This window comes from Homo sapiens, chromosome 4 (genome assembly GCF_000001405.40).
Source record: "Homo sapiens chromosome 4, GRCh38.p14 Primary Assembly".
Lineage (NCBI taxonomy): Eukaryota > Metazoa > Chordata > Mammalia > Primates > Hominidae > Homo > Homo sapiens.
This window is the reverse complement of record NC_000004.12, coordinates 56,292,165-56,309,341: the sequence shown is the minus strand read 5'-3', so window position 1 is coordinate 56,309,341 and position 17,177 is coordinate 56,292,165. Positions and strand designations below refer to the sequence as shown.

General features: G+C 43.7%; 1 protein-coding gene across 13 annotated transcripts in view; it reads right to left on the bottom strand.

Annotated features, from left to right (window-relative positions):
* The window catches only part of CRACD (capping protein inhibiting regulator of actin dynamics), a 281,512-nt gene that overhangs the window by 21,268 nt on the left and 243,067 nt on the right, over positions 1–17,177 (bottom strand). For 6 of the 13 annotated variants that reach the window (XM_047415994.1, NM_001393381.1, XM_047415995.1 and 3 more), the window contains 2 exons: positions 10,993–11,128; positions 1,643–1,807 (listed from right to left, as the gene is read on the bottom strand). In XM_047415994.1, the coding sequence (XP_047271950.1) occupies positions 1,643–1,807; positions 10,993–11,128 (301 nt within the window). Of the gene's footprint in view, positions 1–232; positions 568–1,642; positions 1,808–8,094; positions 8,117–10,992; positions 11,129–17,177 lie in introns of those variants that run through there. The other 7 variants (NM_001393384.1, NM_001393383.1, NM_001393385.1 and 4 more) reach the window with 5 other exon arrangements.

Below are 17,177 nucleotides of genomic sequence, written 5' to 3'. Positions count from 1 at the left end.
TGTTCTCCACACCACACTTAGAAGAATCTTCAGAAAATACAAATCAGATTATGTCACTGCTCTGCTTAAAATTACTCAGAGGCTTCCTATTATCTTCCAAATAGAATTTACCCTTTTCCCATGGTCTATACAATCCGGCTTGGCACCTCTCTCTACCCTCCCCTTGCTCCCACTAGGGTCCTGCTACACTCCTCACCCAAATAAGAGACCTCTCCACCACCAAGTTACTCACTTTTCCATTACCCTGTTTTATTTTCTGTGCAGCCAGCATTTTTCTTGATCTGAAATGATTCTATTTATATACTGGTTGACTTGTTTGTTGTTTGTTACACCCTCTCATTAGGGTGTAAACTACAGAGATGGGGGGCCCCTTGTAGAATCTTGCTCACCTCTGTAATACCCATATCTGAGACAGAGCCTGCTGAACAAACAATCCCCCAGGCCACAGTGCCCAGCACTTATGAGCTCATCAATAACTGTGAGGACATTTGCTTCAGATCTCAGGATACCCCTGCACCAAGGCGATGGCTGTTGCTTCTGCCTAGCACTGGAGAGGTTGGGAAGAGCAATTTTAGAGCTGCCGGGAGAGATGGGCCCATCCCTGCTTGACCTACCACACAAAGGGTGTCAATGCGTGGGTGCCAGGTGTCACAATGGGCAACAGGGGAGGAATGTCCTTTTTCACATCCCTTCCTCACTTGCCTCTGCAAATCACTCGTCTTTCTCACTACTCTCATGACACATCAGTTGATAATGCATGATTTCTTCTGAGACATGCCCATTTTAATAACACCCAACAAAATTCCAGGGGTCTTGATAGGCAGAGCCTAGAGAATGGGTTTTTTTTTTGTTTGTTTTTTCATTTTTTTTTTTAAAGTGAAACCCCAGTGCCTCACCTAGAGAATTCCTGACTCGCTACTGGTTGGACTTTGCTCCTTTTTCCCTAAGAGGTCTAAGGGCATCTTTTCTGCTGCTTTGGAAGAACTCTCATTTCAGGATATGCTCAAAGTGTCAAGAGATCAAATTTAGACAGGATGGTGCTGGAATGTGACTTTCTTTCCAGACTAGGTACTCTTCAAGTTGGCCTGTTTGATGTCTTCTATCTCATGGAGCCCCTACGCATTTCTTTTTTCATTTCCCTTTAAATTAGTCCACTTGGACAAATAATTAGGCAGTACTGCAAAGCAGGCAGTGGCTCAGTCCTAGGGAGACAAAGATGTGTCAGACCCAGTTTGTTCTCAAGGAATCCCATGTTTAGAGATGGAGAGAAAACAGTTACATGGACATAGATAGGGAGAACAGACGTGTGAAAAATGGTAAAGACACACAGCAAAGGCACAAGAAGACAGTACAGCTTGGGGTGAGGCCAGGTACGGCTTCCCAGAAGAGGTAGGCATAAGCCTTGAAGGGTAAGTGAAAGACACTGGGAAGACCGCCTGCAAAGGGCTTGTCTCCTCTTCCTCCCTGTCCTCTTCACTGGCTACAGGTCAGGACACCTACCAGGAAGTGCCCTCAAGCCCTGAGCTACTCATGAGAAAAGCTCCTCCCTCTAATTCCCCTGCTGCAGACCCCAGGGTTACTGGAGGCCCAATGTCCTGCCCTGGTTTATGAGCCATCAAGTCATTCCCTGGAGGAGACTTACCTTGTTCTCTGCGTCTGAGAGGACGATGTCCTGCTGAGTCACAATTTCCATGGGACTGGTCAGGAACAGATCCTCTTCTAAGCTAGCCTCTCCACTGTTTGCCTTATTCATGGGAATGGCATTGGGTGACCGCTGCCCAAACTTGATATTCTTGCCCAACTGTTGCTGGAGAGAAACAGAAGAAAGACATTCTGAAGCAGTGAAGCAGTTCACAACCACCACAACCAGGTTCTCCAGCATGTCTAGTGAGCACTGAGGCATACCTTGTGCACAACTGATTTCTAGACTCAACACCATGCCAGGAAACCATGATGCCATCCTGTAATAAGTTAATTTGTTTTCCACTTTCTTCTCTTTTCTTTTTTTTTCTTTCCCACCTTCAAGCCATGAGCTTTTTCATCCAGCCACCTCTTTCATGGAGATCCCAACATTTCCCAGTGGGCATGGTGGCCACATTTTCTGAACCAAAAGTTGGGATATATGTTATGACAAAAATTTTTCATTAACCTATAAATTCATTTACATAAAAAGTCTCTTAAAAGTGCAAAAAAAATTATAGAAAACAGTTACATGAAATGTAGGAACCACTGAGGGAAATCAAGACCCTAAAGGTTGGTGCAACTCTCCAGCCCCTTTGGGACATATTCACTTTGAAGATTTATACTTCCGCAGCCTTCCTCACCAGCCCTTAGCTTGAGACCCCAAACCAGAACATTGCATTCTGCCACACTGGGTCGCTGCCAAGGCAAAGAAGGCCCCAGGGCCAGCAAGTCTTTCCATGATCAATACTAAAACCCTATAAAGGATAGGAACAATCTGGACGTCCTCTTTGCCTTGCTGTGGCCACCTAACCGTGACAAAGGAGACAGAGGAACCAAATGGGGAAAAGCCAGGGAGGGACTGACTACTGGTGAGTGGTGGCTAGAAGGACAGGGAAAAGGGAGGGGAAAATGGGGTAGAAATTCGGAAGATTAAATAGTATTTGCAAGTAGAGGAAGGCCAGATTAGAAAAGCAAAAATGTCTCCAGAAGTTGCCCAAAGTCCCCTGGGGGGTAAAATTGCCCCCAGCTGAGAACCACTGCTCTAGACCTAGGTCCTTGGGTTACATAGTCATTATATTCCTCAAAGAATATATTTTCTGAAATGTTCATCTTTCTCTGTTTGTTTGTTTGTTTGTTTGTTTGTTTGAGACACGGTCTCGCTCTGTTGCCCAGGCTGGAGTGCAGTGGCCCAATTTTGGCTCATTGCAACCTTGAATTCCCAGGTTCAGATGATTCTCCCATGCTCAGGTGATCCTCCCACCTCAGCCTTCCAAGTAGCTGGGATTACAGGCATGCACCACCACAGCCAGCTAACTTTTGTATTTTTTGTAGAGATGGGGTTTCAACAAGTTGCCCAGGCTGGTCTCAAACTCCTGGTCTCAAGCAATCCGCCCACCTCGGCCTCCCAAAGTGCTGGGATTACAGGCATGAGCCACCACACCTGGCCTGATATTTATCTCTAATCTGGCTAATATTTAACCCCACAGAGCTGCAAAAAGCCATAGCAATCACCTACTCCAAACCCCTCACTTTGCAAAAAATGTCTGAGGCCCAGTGGAGAGAGGTGACTGGCCCAAGCTTACGGAAAGAATGAGTGGCTCAAAAGGAATCTGAACTCAGGTCTTTTAAAAATAACATTCAGTGTTGTTTTCATTGTACTCCACTGGTGCTCATAAATTTGACTTTGTACTTCTTTCTTCCAGGGGCAGAAATAAAGAGGCAGAGTATTTCTAATACTTCAATGATGTTCCCTGGCGCAAGAATCCCTTGAGGGAAATGTCTTCTCTCCCTTTGAACTCAGCGGTACCAAAACCACCCACCTTTGCCCAGCTCCCCCTCAGCCTTGCACAGTGGGCAGTGAGACTGCAGAGATATAATAGAGATAAGCCCAAGGGTCCCCTCCACATGCCCCCTGGGGACCCCAGCATGCCAAGTCAGGAGCACAGCCAGGCAAGGGCTTGTATGCCTGGCTCTCCCAGCCTCACAGGACAGGAGCACACATGAAAAGCCAAGTTCAGCAAGGGAAGTACAGCGTCAGCAGCCTGGAAGGGTTGTGGGGAGGAGAAGGCTGAAAAGGGTGTCTTCTAAAAACAAGTCCAACAGGAAGTGGCAGGTAGTATCTATCTACTCTAAGCAAATCAATAAGCAGGCATGGTTAGAACAGCCAATGGATGGAGTTAGACAAGAGGACATGGAATAACAAGGTAACAGGCCCATTTCACCCTGCAGCCTTGGGAGAGGGGGTGGGGACCTGTGCAGAAGAATGGTTCCTGTGTCCGCCCAGCCCAGCCTTCTCTAGGAGTGTTGGCCAAGAACTGGAAACTGTTCTAAATCCCCTTAGATTGAGACATGTCCTGGTGGGAGGGTCTGCTTTTTACCAATGCTGAGATGAGGACATTTCTTGTGCTTACAGTGGAAAGGATAATTCCTTTTTTTCTGAGACAGGGTCTCTTTCTGTCGCACAGGCTAGAGTGCAGTGGCATGATCATAGCTCACTGCAGCCTGGATGTCCTGGGCTCAAGTGATCCTCCTGCCTTAGCCTCCCAAGTAGCTAGGACCACATGCATCGACCACCACACCTGGCTAATTTTCAGATTTTCTTGTAGTGACGGGGTCTCACCATGATGCCCAGGCTCGTCTCAAACTCCTGGGCTCCACTGATCCTCCTGCATTAGGCTCCCAAGGTGCTGGGATTACAGGTATGAACCACTGCACCCCGCTGGAAAGGATAATTCTTTAATGAATTTCCAAGGAGGACCTGGCCTAACACTCTAATACCATTTAATTAGGATTTTTGCCATCATCACACACACAAAAATTGAATATACTTAAACTTTACTTCATTTTAAATTTTTTAAATTAAATTTTATTTTTTTAGAGTTGGGGTCTCCTTCTGTTGCCCAGGCTAAAGTGCAGTAGTGCCATCATAGCTCACTGCAGCCTCAAACTCCTGGGCTCAAGGAATTCTCCCACCTCAGCCTCCTAAATAGGTGGGACTACAGATGCACACCACCATGCCCAACTAATTTTTAAAATTTTTGTAGAGGTGGGTGGGGTCTTGCTATGTTGCTCAGGCTGGTCGGGAACTCCTAGACTCAAGCAGTCCTCCTGCCTCCGCCTCCCGAAGTGCTGGCATTACAGGCATGAGCCATCACACCTGGCCTGTTTTACTTCATTAGAGCCCTTGTTATAATACTCATGTTGGTCCATCCTGATGCTTAAGAGACAAAAAAAGAATAAGGCAAAATGTAATCACAGTCTGAATTGAAATAATGTCCAAAGATGGAATGACTATTATATCTACAAACAGAAAAGAGAACATGGAAAGAAAAAAAAAAAAAAAAAAGGAATAAGAACAGGAAAAAGAAGGTGCCTGGTGCAAAGCAGAGAAATGAAAAGAGTAATGTTAGGAAGTGAAGTTGAGAATTAAAGAGGCAATTCGAGAGGAAGGGACAGGGAACAGAGAAAATGCATAGGCAAGAAGAGGGAGCAGGGCCCAGGAAGAGCAGACCAGCTGCAGTTACAACAGCTGGGGGATGTTGGCAGGGGAGGGCAGAGGGAGAAGAGGCAGAGGGAGGGAGGGAAGCAGAATGTATCTATCACGTATGTCACAGATATGTTCATCCTGGCAAAATCAGCATCATGCTGTTGCCTTTTAGAATGAAAGTGTGCATCTTAGTAAAGAAATTGACTTGAAATCCCCCCAGAGAAAACAAACTCAGGCTGGTGGCTGGGGAACTTAGGAAGAGAAACTGCGATGAAAGAGGAGAATGGTGGCTGTGACGAAGAGGAGGGCTACAGTTTCTATGTCCAGACGAAGCACTGTCCTCGAAGACATGCCCTACAGCCATCTGGGATGAGACAGTGGACCCAGGCCAGGGCAGGACTCAGGGTCCGACGCATGGTGCTCAGTCCTCAGGTACCCAAGGCCAAGGCCAAGGCCTCGCCCCTACAGGCTCTCCCTGTGGTACCTCCTCCGAATGCTTCCTTCAGCCAACTCAGAGGAGACTGGTTGTTAGGACATTTTGTGTGATTTATTGTATCAACAATTAAGTTTACTGCTCACACCTGTTTGACAATCTCAGGTGTCATGTGAATTGACTATGTGGATAAATGTGTCTTTTTTGTTACTTTAATTCTGCCCACTACTCAGGCATTGTCATGAGAGGAACTATGAAATAAACAATCACTGAAAACCAGACTGTTAAGATAAGCCAGACTTTAAGTTTTCAGAGAGATAAACTACTACTCCTCCCATCTTTAAAAAAAATATATATCCCTAGGTTCCTTCTTTCTTTTTTTTTTTTTTTCCTACAAAGGAGTCTCGCTCTGTCACCGAGTCTGGAGTGCCAATGGCACGATCTCGGCTCACTGCAGCCTCCGCCTCTGGGGTTCAAGCGATTCTCCTGCCTCAGCCTCCCGAGTAGCTGGGATTACAGGCACATGCCTGCACGTCCTGCTAATTTTTGTATTTTTAGTAGAGATGGGGTTTCACCATGCTGGCCAGGCTGGTCTTGAACTCCTGGCCTCAAGTGATCCACCCACCTCGACCTCCCAGAGTGCTCGAATTATAGGCATGAGCCACCACACCCAGCCTCCAGACTCCTTCTTTATACACATGGGAAGTATAAACAGAAGGGAGAGTGGAAATCTGTGCCTCAACTGACACTCCATGTTGCTGGTGGCCATGAATGGAGTTACTGTTGAGACTGGAATGTGAGCTACAAGGAACTATATTTTATTCATTCAAATTGGACCATTTTGTTGTAATGTGGAATGCTGGAGAATGACATTACAGGAATGCATATCCATATTTATAAGGCTTATTCCTACAATGTGGAAATGCCGAGCACACCATATTCTGCAGCTCTCTGCCAGTGTCTAGATTTTCCTATCCTTCAGACTATGTCTAAAGAGCAAAGCAGAAAAAAATAAATAAGTAAAGTTGCTGTCTTTTTGAGCAAACTACAGGTATCTCCATAGTTAAAATGAATAATAATAAAAAAAAAGAAAAAGCATACAGAATTAAAGACATCCTGCTCTAGGAAGAAGTGGCTAAGAGCGGGTGTTTATTCTTTGTGTCCTTGACAGCTGCAGTAAGGTGTCAAAATCCCCGAATGTATGACTTTGGTATTTGTAAGTGAAATCCAGCTCGGTGGGAGATACAAGCCACTCAGGATGGCGGTGTTCCCTCCTACACCAGATAATCCGTGGTACAAACAGACTAAGCATTTCCTGACAAAGGTGTGGTATAATCCTAACAATTACCTGCAGCCTCAGACTGTGGTACCCCTGAGTTTTATCACCAGTTGGTACATACCTCACAGCCCGGTCTGATCTTACACAAACAGGCACCCTCCCTGATCCATGCTGGTGGGCAGCTGTAGGGAATGTCAAGGTCATTGTAGCTGAAATGCAACGAAGTGCGAAGCTTCTGAAGCCGCTCCATGCTACAGCAGTTCAATAGTGATTGTATAGAGATCGCAGATCTTAAGAGCAGGAGGGGCCCTGAGATCACCCCTTGTGTGCATGCCCCTTAGTTTTCAGGAGGAGAAAGTGCCAGAGAGGTTGAACGACTTCACCCAAAGCCATACAGCCAGGTGGGGCTGGCTTTATATTCCACTGCATTCTGTCACTCATTCAAATGGTATTCACACTACTGGCCACAGAGCGACTCTGTTATGTACAGAGTCCTCACAAAGGACACCACTGTTGGTTTTGTCCCTATAACTGCCCCATATATTAAAATTTGTTTTCACTCTGCACGTGCACTATTTTTATCTTTAGAAAAAAAATGGTGATTTTTCTTTTAAATAGTGATTTTTTTCTTTTAAATCTGCCACAGAAATTGTGGCAGATGGTAGATTCACATTACTCAGGAAAGGGGAGGCTGGTTTTTGCTGTATTGAGTTCTTCTGTACTCCGTGGAGAGATACCAACCTGCAAACTAAGACAGTTCTCGGTGAGCCCACCATGTGCAGGCACTAGAGGGCAGCCTTTCCAAAGGCAGGCATTACAGACAGACACCCTTCCGTGGGTCTCTAGGAACTCGAAGGGCTGGGAAGTTTCTTAAGCCACAGAGAAAAAAGGCACTCCAGTAGACATCTCATCTCAGAAGAATGTCTTAATAATGGTGGCTAATCAGCTTGCCAGGACATACACTGTCAAATAGGTGTTTTCCATTACTTCTCTCTTTTTAAAAATAAACATACACACATACACAAAGACAATTCCAGACATAAAAACATACATGCCTCAGACACAACTAAATTCTCTCATTCCATGCTGGCATCTACAAGGGGGCGGTCTCTTAGGCTGCTTACTAAGCATCAATACCAGCATCACGTTGTCATGGAAAAATGCAAAGCATTCATGCAAGTTAATAAAGTTACTATCACTTCTACGACTTACCAGGAACATACTGCTTAGTCGACTGAAAAATAAAGCACAGTCTTTTTGGGGATGATTCAGTTATATCTCAAGTCACGCCAAAAAAAAAATCACATTTTCTATGATAATGGTCCCCATTTCCCTCCTCAAAGAATGAACAAAGCCTTTTATGTTTTCAAAAGTATAACTACAGAGCTGAAAGGAAGCTTGTGAATCCATGCAGCGGAAGCAAAACTAGGCAGACTTCATCTGAATAGATATTGTCAAAATGAGCGCACACAAATTAAACAGTTATTCTGCTTTACTCACATTTTTCTTCCTGTGTTTATGCAATTGTCACTTCGGGGAAGTTAGTCATTTTACATTTTATTAATTATGACATCAGGTTATTTAAAATCACGCCTTACTGTTAACAGAAATATTTTTATTGGGTTTCTATCTTTCCAATACTGCAGAATTATATAGTATACTTTTTTACAACACTAAATCCACTTCTTGGCGTGGCAGTGGCATGTGGTATGATGTGACAGAGCAGGTATCATTGAAGACAAGAGATTTTTATCTGATTTTTTAAAAACTCCTAAAAAGCTCTCATAAAATACAGCTGTTTTGTGAACTGAAATCTGTAAGTCATTCCTCTTAGAAAGGGGATCCAATGAACCAGAAGTTCACAACTTCTTAGGAATAATATTGCAAGAATCAAAAGACTTGAAGAAGGAAAGGTAAGGAGGAGGGGGGTCAAGGTTTTCTTTGGCCATCACCATACTTCCCTCTTCTTCAACCTATAAGAAGTCACAGCTTGCTTTTTCTATAAAAAGTGTTAGAGCACGGCCAGCTAGAACCAAGAATGGAAGCCAGTTAGGAAATGCTAAGATTTGAAGGACATGTCTGGGGGTTGGCCCTGAGGGCAGGACTATGGCTTTGGGCAGCGGTGGCAGCAGGCATCAAGACCTAGGCAAGTTGGGTGTCGTTCCAAGGTCTCTTGGCTACTTCCCTGTCTGCCACATGCTACATTTAGCTGGGTGTTATGTGGAATATGTGACCAGACACAATTTCCACAAAATATCACAAAATACACAGCCTACGCTCCATAGAAACAAGAACACCTCACAAATAATTTTCTTTTTTTTTTGAGAGGAAATCTCTCTCTGTCGCCAGGCTGGAGTGCAGTGGTGCAATCCTGGCTCACTGCAACCTCCACCTCCCGGGTTCAAGTGATTCTCCTGCCTCAGCCTCCTGAGTAGCTGGGACTACAGGCGCCTGCCACCACGCCCAGCTAATTTTTTGTATTTTTAGTAGAGACGGGGTTTCACTGTGTTAGCCAGGATGGTCTCGATCTCCTGCTGATCTCTACTGAGTACAGTGCTTCAGCATATCAGTAGCTACTGAGGGCAGTTGTTCTCTTTTCCTTTTTTTTTTTTTGCTCGTTTATTGATTCATTCATTTAATCCATTGTTGTAGACTTACAGACAGGTGGAAGCCAGCAGACCAGAGCCCTCTGTTCATAACCTGGAGACCCTCCAAGCAGCTAGCTGGAGAGCCTCAGAGAAGTGCTTGCTTGGGCATTTCTCTTGGGTAAGCGAATTTTTTTTTTTTTTTTGGACAAGCTCTCACTCTATCACCCAGGAAGGCATGCAGTGGTGCAATCTCAGTTCACTGCAACCTCTGCTTCCTGGGCTCAAGCCATCCTCCCACCTCAGCCTCCTGAGAAGCTGGGACTACAGGCATGCACAACCATGCCCGGCTAACTTTTGTATTTTTGGTAGAGATGGGGTTTCACCATGTTGCCCAGGTTAGTCTCAAACTCCTGAGTTCAAGCAGTCCACCCACCTCGGCCTCCCAAAGTGCTGGAATTATAGGAGTGAGCCACTGTGCCTGGCCAGATGAGAGAATTCTATCTGCCAAGCAGCTAGGCAGACCTCATAGTCAGGCTCTAAGTGCCTCTGCTCTTCTTGCTTTTCCTGTATTATCTGTCATTTCAATCATATGTAGTGAATAATTATTTATTATATTTTCATTGTTAGGGAGGTACCACCCGAGTAGATTTTAGGTAGGAAAACTGCCCCACTCTGCAGAGTGAACTGGAAGTGGCTTAAGAGCTTTGTGATTTTCTTCTGAGACAAGGTGGCTTAGGGTGGCGAGATTTACAAATACAACAGAAAAATAGAGTCGTATCATTCACTGTCCAATTACAGAGACTCGGAAAGTGGATATGTGTTGTGCACACGCTCAGTCAACAGTCAGCCCTGATTCAGGGATTATGGGCAATGCTTAACGGTTAGGAACTCTTCCTCTCATCCAAGTCCTATAGCTTTTTGTTGTTGTTGTTGTTGTTGGGGAGAGAGCCTTGCTCTGTCACCCAGGCTGGAGTGCAGTGGCATGATCTCGGCTCACTGCAACCTCTGCCTCCCGGATTCAAGTGATTCTCCTGCCTCAGCCTCCCTTGTAGCTGGGATTACAGGTGTGTGCCACCACATCCAGCTAATTTTTGCATTTTTAGTAGAGACAGTGTTTCGCCATGTTGCCCAGGCTGCTTTTGAATTCCTGGCCTCAAGTGATCCACCCGCCTCGGCCTCCCAAAGTGCTGGGATTACAGGCCTGAGCCACCGCGCCTGGCCCCAAGTCCTGCAGCTTCTCTTGGGTACTTGTTTTCATGTCCAGTAAAATATGAGGGAACAATTTGAAAGAAAAGGAGAGGGTGTGTCATGCAGATGGCTGCAGTGGTGATAGTGTAGCTCTTGCAGGTAGGCAGGAGGTTTCCAGAGAATACAGTTGAATTCAAGAAAGCAATAATTCTCACCAGGAGTGACCTCTGGACCTCCCAATCCATTACTCAAGGCCAAGCTCGGGACTTTTCCCACTTCCCTTCATAACTGGGCCCCTCCTATGGCTCGTAATTCCACTCTCAAGCTGTCTTACCTGAAGAGTTTTGACTTTGCCCAGGATGTTGTCCTGTGACATTGCTTGAACTGTCTGCTCACTTTCTGCTCCCCCATCAGGGATAAAAATACTGTCATGGGAAAATGCCCGGGTTCCCATAGAATAGTTGAAGGACCTGGAAGGTAAATCATGTGCTTCATTTTATTAGGATAAAATTTCTTTTGGCAATTCAGTTTTCCATTATTCCTGATTGGAGGGACTCCACCCACATTCCCAGTCTCATTCGGCAAGCACTTTCAGCATTGTGTCCCTGTCTGCTGGGGGTCAGCCAAGGAGCTGGGTAGACAAAAGGGTCCCCATCTCTTACATAGCCCTGGTTCAGAGCCATTCACCGTGAGAACACAAAGACAGTTACTTATTTGTATAGGATCCAAGACAGAAGGCACTGCAGAACTTTTAATTGGAAGAGCCTTTCTCCAGCTGAGCTGTCACTATCAGTTTTGTCCCAGTAAGTCTTGCCAACCAGAATTTATTAAGTAACATGCAAATCTAGAAGTAAGAGGCAAGGATTTCTTTCTTTCAGATGACAACCAAACTGGAAGAAAGATGTACACATCCCAAACAAAGACTTTGGAAGAGGACTAGAGAATTGTTGATAGAGACAATAAATGCTTTAGCAATTTCGGGAAAATGGGAGACATTTGTGTTAGGGCCATTCTGACAGGCTTTGCATATATGGAACACCTTATAGGTGGCTGGTATCCAACAAAAACTTTTTAAATTTTTATTTTTATTTATTTATATTTTTTAGAGACAAGGTTTTATTCTGTTGCCCAGGCTGGAGTGCAGTGGTGTGATCATGGCCCAATGTAGCCTCAAACTCCTGGGCTCAAGTGATCCTGCAGAGTAGCTAGGAATACAGACATCTGCTCCCACATCCAGCTAATTTATATTATTTTTTGTAGGGCTGGGGTCTTGCTATGTTACCCAGGCTGGTTTTGAACTCCTGGCTTCCTCACAAAGCACTGGCATTACAGGCATGAGCCACTAAGCCCAGCTAAAACACTTTTTAGTTGAAAGTCTGGACTTGGAGGAAGTCTGGACTTCTACCAGACAATGAGGTATAAGCCGTGTGAAATGCACAAAGACAGCCAGGCACGGTGGCTCATGCCAAGCCCAGCACTTTGGGAGGCAGAGGCAGGCAGATCACCTGAGGTCTGGAGTTCGAGACCAGCCTGGGCAATATGGTGAAACCCCGTCTCTACTAAAAATACCAAAAAAACAAAAACAAAAACAAAAAAATTAGCCGGGCATGATGGCTGGCGCCTATAATCCCAGCTACTTGGGAGACTCAGATGGGAGAATCGCTTGAACCCGGGAGGCGGGGATTGCAGTGAGCCAAGATTGCGCCACTGCACTCCAGCCTAGGTGAGACAGAGCGAGACTCAGTCTCAAAAAAAAAAAAAAACAAACAAAAAAAAAGAAATGCACAAAGAGGAAGCAGCAGAAGTAAGCGAGTAAGATAGCAGTAAGGAAGCAAACTGTTCCCTACTTGATCTTGGAAACTAACTTATCTCTGGGAAAGAGTACACACTGAGGCTGCCAGCTCCTCACAGGGGCAGGAAGAGCAGCAAGGCATGCACATTGCCACAATGCCAGGCAACACAGGCAGCACTTGGAGGGGAGAGAGAGCACAACCTCCTCCTTCCCCTCCCCAGAAAGGGGCCCCTACTGGGGTTTTCTCAGTGACCAAGTGCATGAAAGAATAGCCAGCGTTGGGGGCAGGTGTTCCCAGGCAGTGCCTCCGAACTGAATTACAGAATGCAGTGGGCAAGGTCCTGGGGCAGCTGTACTTGTTATCTGCCCAAGTCTAGACCCAGTTGGGAAGACTAATTACCAAATTTTATCATCTAGTTTGCTAAATTACAGGCAGCACGGTGTAAAAGTGTGCGAGGTTTACAAATGAAAGACTTGGATGTGAGCCTCCTGGCTATGTGATCTTAGGCAATAATAATAATTATTATAAACATCAACCCTTACTTTGATTTAAAAAAAAAACTGTGTGGAGTTTTACTTTCATTATCTCATTTAATCCCCATCATCACCATCTTGTGACAGATGAAACTCAGAGAGTAAATAACTTATATAAAGACATCCAAATTGAAGGAGTAGAGTGAGAAACTGAACTCAGATCTGCTGAGAATAATCTCATGCCAGCCAGCTGCCATATTTTAAAGTGGTAGAAGGTCATATAGTATTGCCATCATGAGTGACACAGGGTATGGGAGAGGAAGACGGTGCAGATGCCATGGGGCCTGGACTGTGAGAGGGTTGAAGACACTAAATAGCTAGAATAAGGCATACGTCTTCAGCTAAATAACCCAGGGCACCATATAGCAGCAATTCCCTTTATGAAATATGAGGCACTCTTTTAGGAAACATGCAGGGAGATTAATATGTTATGATCTCCCTGTCCTCAAAGAACCTGGGACCTATGTCACAAACTGAGCTTCCAAGTTCACCTAAAAATGTTATGAAATAAACTTTTCATTTGAAGTTGTGGAATCGCACTTCTGAATATTCTCTGTCTAAACTTCTTTTTCAGATCCCTGGTTATGACTCAGTTGAGAGAAGGGGTAAATGACTTCATTTCTACATTGTATTTTTGCAAAGGGCATATATATATATATATATATATATATATATATATATATATATATATATATATGTTTACTAATTTCTCACAGTTGTGTGTACAGAATACACCAGTGCTAGGCTAAGTTCCATTCCAGTTTCTAAGTCAACCTTGACTGCGTCATGAAGTCTATCCCCCTGATTTATTTTTCCACATAGGCTAAGAATTGGCACTCTCCTGCTCTTTGGTGTTGAACTCCAAACATTCCTGTTGCCGGCAAAGATCTGATGTCCATTCATTACTCACTTCCAGATGATCATATTGAAAAATAGAGAAAATGAAAAGTAATAATAGCAGTAGTAGTAATTATAATAGTGGTGGTCACAGTGGTAACATTTATCCTAGCTAAATTTTATTGGACACTTGTGATGTATCTTGCATATATGCTAACCTCTTTAACATAATATCAGAATCTTTTTGATATATAATATTTAAAACTTATGTGGTAGGCACTGTTAGTAAGGCTGTTTTATGGACAAGGAAACTAAGGTTTGAAGACAATGAGCAATTTGCTATAAATTAAGTAACTGTCTATATTATAATTTTTTCTGGCCTCTGTTCCACTGGTCTACTTGTCTGTTTTTTGTTGTTGTTGTTTTGTTTTTACTTTTTTTACTTACCTGTTTTTATACCAATAACACACTATCTTAATTGCTGTAGCTTTTTAAGGAGTCTTGATATCTAGTAGTTTAAGTTTTTCAGCTCTGGTTTTCTGGGTTTTTTTCTTTCTTTCTTTTCTTTTCTTTTTTTTCTTTTTACTTTTTTTTTTTTTTTTTTTTTGAGACAAGGTCTTGCTCTGCTACCCAGGCTGGAGTGCAGTGGCATGATCTCGGCTTAGTGTAACCTCCACCTTCTGGGTTCAAGCAATTCTCCTGCCTCAGCCTCCCAAGTAGCTCAGATTACAGGTGCCCACCACCACGCCTGGTTAATTTTTGTATTTTTGGTAGAGATGGGGTTTTGCCATGTTGGCCAGGCTGGTATAGAACTCCTGGCCTCAAGTGATCAGCCCACCTTGGCCTCCCAAAGTACTGGGATTATAGGCGTGAGCCGCCACACCTGGCTTCTACATAAATTTATACATATACACATACATGAATATACTATTGAGATTGCTTTTAGATGGCATTAAATCTATAACTTTTTAAACTGATGTTTTTACAATATTGAATCTTTTAATCCATGAACATGGGCTGACTCCTCATGTATTTATATCATCTTTAATTTCTCTTAACAAATGTGTTGAAGTTTTCTGTATAGAGGTCTTGTACATATTTTGATAGGTTTATTCTTATATATTTGGTGTTTCTGAATTTATTGTAAATGGTATAGACTAAAATTTCTATTTTCTAATTTTTTAATTAGTGGATATAAAATGTAACTTATTTTTATATATTGATCTTATAACCAGAGACTTTGCTAAGTTTATTTATCAATTATAATAACATGACTGCTGATTCTTTTTTTTTTTTTTAAGACAGGGTCTCAGTCACCAAGGCTGGAGTGCAGTGGCTAAATCATAGCTGCTGGGCAACCTTGAACTCCTGGATTCAGGGGATCCTCCTGCCTCAGTCTCCCAAGTAGCTGGGACTACAGGCTCATGCCAGCATACCTGGCTACTTTTAAAATTTTTTGTAGAGATGAGTTCTTGCCATCTTCCCTAGTCTGGTCTGGAACTCCTGCCTCAAGCAATCCTCCCACCTTAGCCTCCCAAAGTGCTGGAATTACAGGCATAAGCCACCACACCTGAACACCTGAACACCTGAAGCATAGAATTTTTGTAGATAAGCTTGTATTACTGCATCTTTGAAAAGACACATGATCTACTGATATGGTTTGGATCTGTGTCCCCGACAAATCTCATGTCAAATTGTAGTCTCCAATGGTGGGAGGTGGCTGGATCATGGGGATGGATTTCTCATGAACGGTTCAGCATAATCCCCTTGGTGCTATTTTCATGGTAGTGAGTGAGTTCTTGCAAGATCCTGTTGTTTAAAAGCATGCAGCACCTCCTGCCTTGCTCTCTCTTGCTCCTGCTCCTGCCATGTGAAACACCTCACTCCCTCTTTGCCTTCTGCCATGATTGGAAGCTTCTTGAGGCCTCCTTAGAAGTGGAAGCCACTATGCTTCCTGTACAGCATGCAGGATCACGGCCAATTAAACCTCTTTTCTTTATAAATTACCCAGTCTCAGGTATTTCTTCAGAGCAGTGCAAGAGCACACTAATACAGCTATCTTTCATTTATAGCTGATTTTAAAGTTAGCCTCTTTATCTTTGTTTTTTAGCAGTTTTACTCTGGTGTAGCAGGGTGTGAGCTTCTTTTAATTTATTCAGCTTGGGTTACACAATGCTTCTAAAATCTGTAGCTTGATGTCTTTCATCAGCTTTGGAAAATTCTCAGCCTTTATCTCTTAAATACTGTTGTGCCCCATTTTTCCTCTAATCTCTCTCTGATCCTCCCATGTTAAACCCTTTTAACTACAAGCCACATAACTTTTATTCTCATTATTATAGCTACCATTCTTTTTACTCAATATGATTCAGACTGGATATTTCTATGGACCTGCTTCCAGTTCACTAATTTTCTCTTTAAGTCCAATCTGCTGAGTTCTTAATTTCAGAAGTATATTTTAGATCTCAAATTTCCACTTAATTGTTTAATAAATTTAAGTTCTCTGCTGAAATTCTCCATCCTGTAAACTATATTCTTGAATATATTAATCACAATTATTTGAAAGTCTATCTGAAACTCCAACATCTAGGTCACCTTTAGGTCTCTGTCTATTATCTTGTTTTTCTTGTGGTCTGTTTCTTAGATGCTTGGTAATTTTTAATTAGACTTCACACATCATGCCTCAAAAATTTTAGAGGTGGCCAGTCGCGGTGGCTCACGCCTGTAATCCCAGCACTTTGGGAGGCCGAGGCAGGTGGATCACGAGGTCAAGAGATGGAGACCATCCTGGTTGACACGGTGAAACCCTGTCTCTACTAAAAATACAAAAAATTAGCTGGGCGTGGTGGCAGGCGCCTGTAGTCCCAGCTACTCGGGAGGCTGAGGCAGGAGAATGGTGTGAACCCGGGAGGTGGAGGTTGCAGTGAGCCGAGACTGTGCCACTGCACTCCAGCCTGGGCGACAGAGCAAGACTCTGTCTCAAAAAAAAAAAAAATTTAGAGGCTGGGTTCTCTCCTTCCAGAGAGGACTCACCTGATCTTCTTGAAGGCTTCAAACAGCAAAGAAGCACATCACTTCAATCCAATCAAAGACTGAGCTAATTCATGGCTGGTTAGAAATCTTTGTAAGGCTCAGACTACTTCTGTTTTGCCTCCACTTCTAGGGTGTGGTCCTCCCAGAGCCTCAACTGAGAGCCTGGGTTATTTCCTAAGGTCCCCCTCCTTGGCATATCTGCGTGTAAACTGTTAGAAGCAGCCAGGCCACATCTTAAATGCTTTGCTGCTTAAAAATTCCTTTCAACAGATACCCTAAGTCACCACTCTTGAGTTCAAACTACCACAGATCCCTAGGGAATGAAC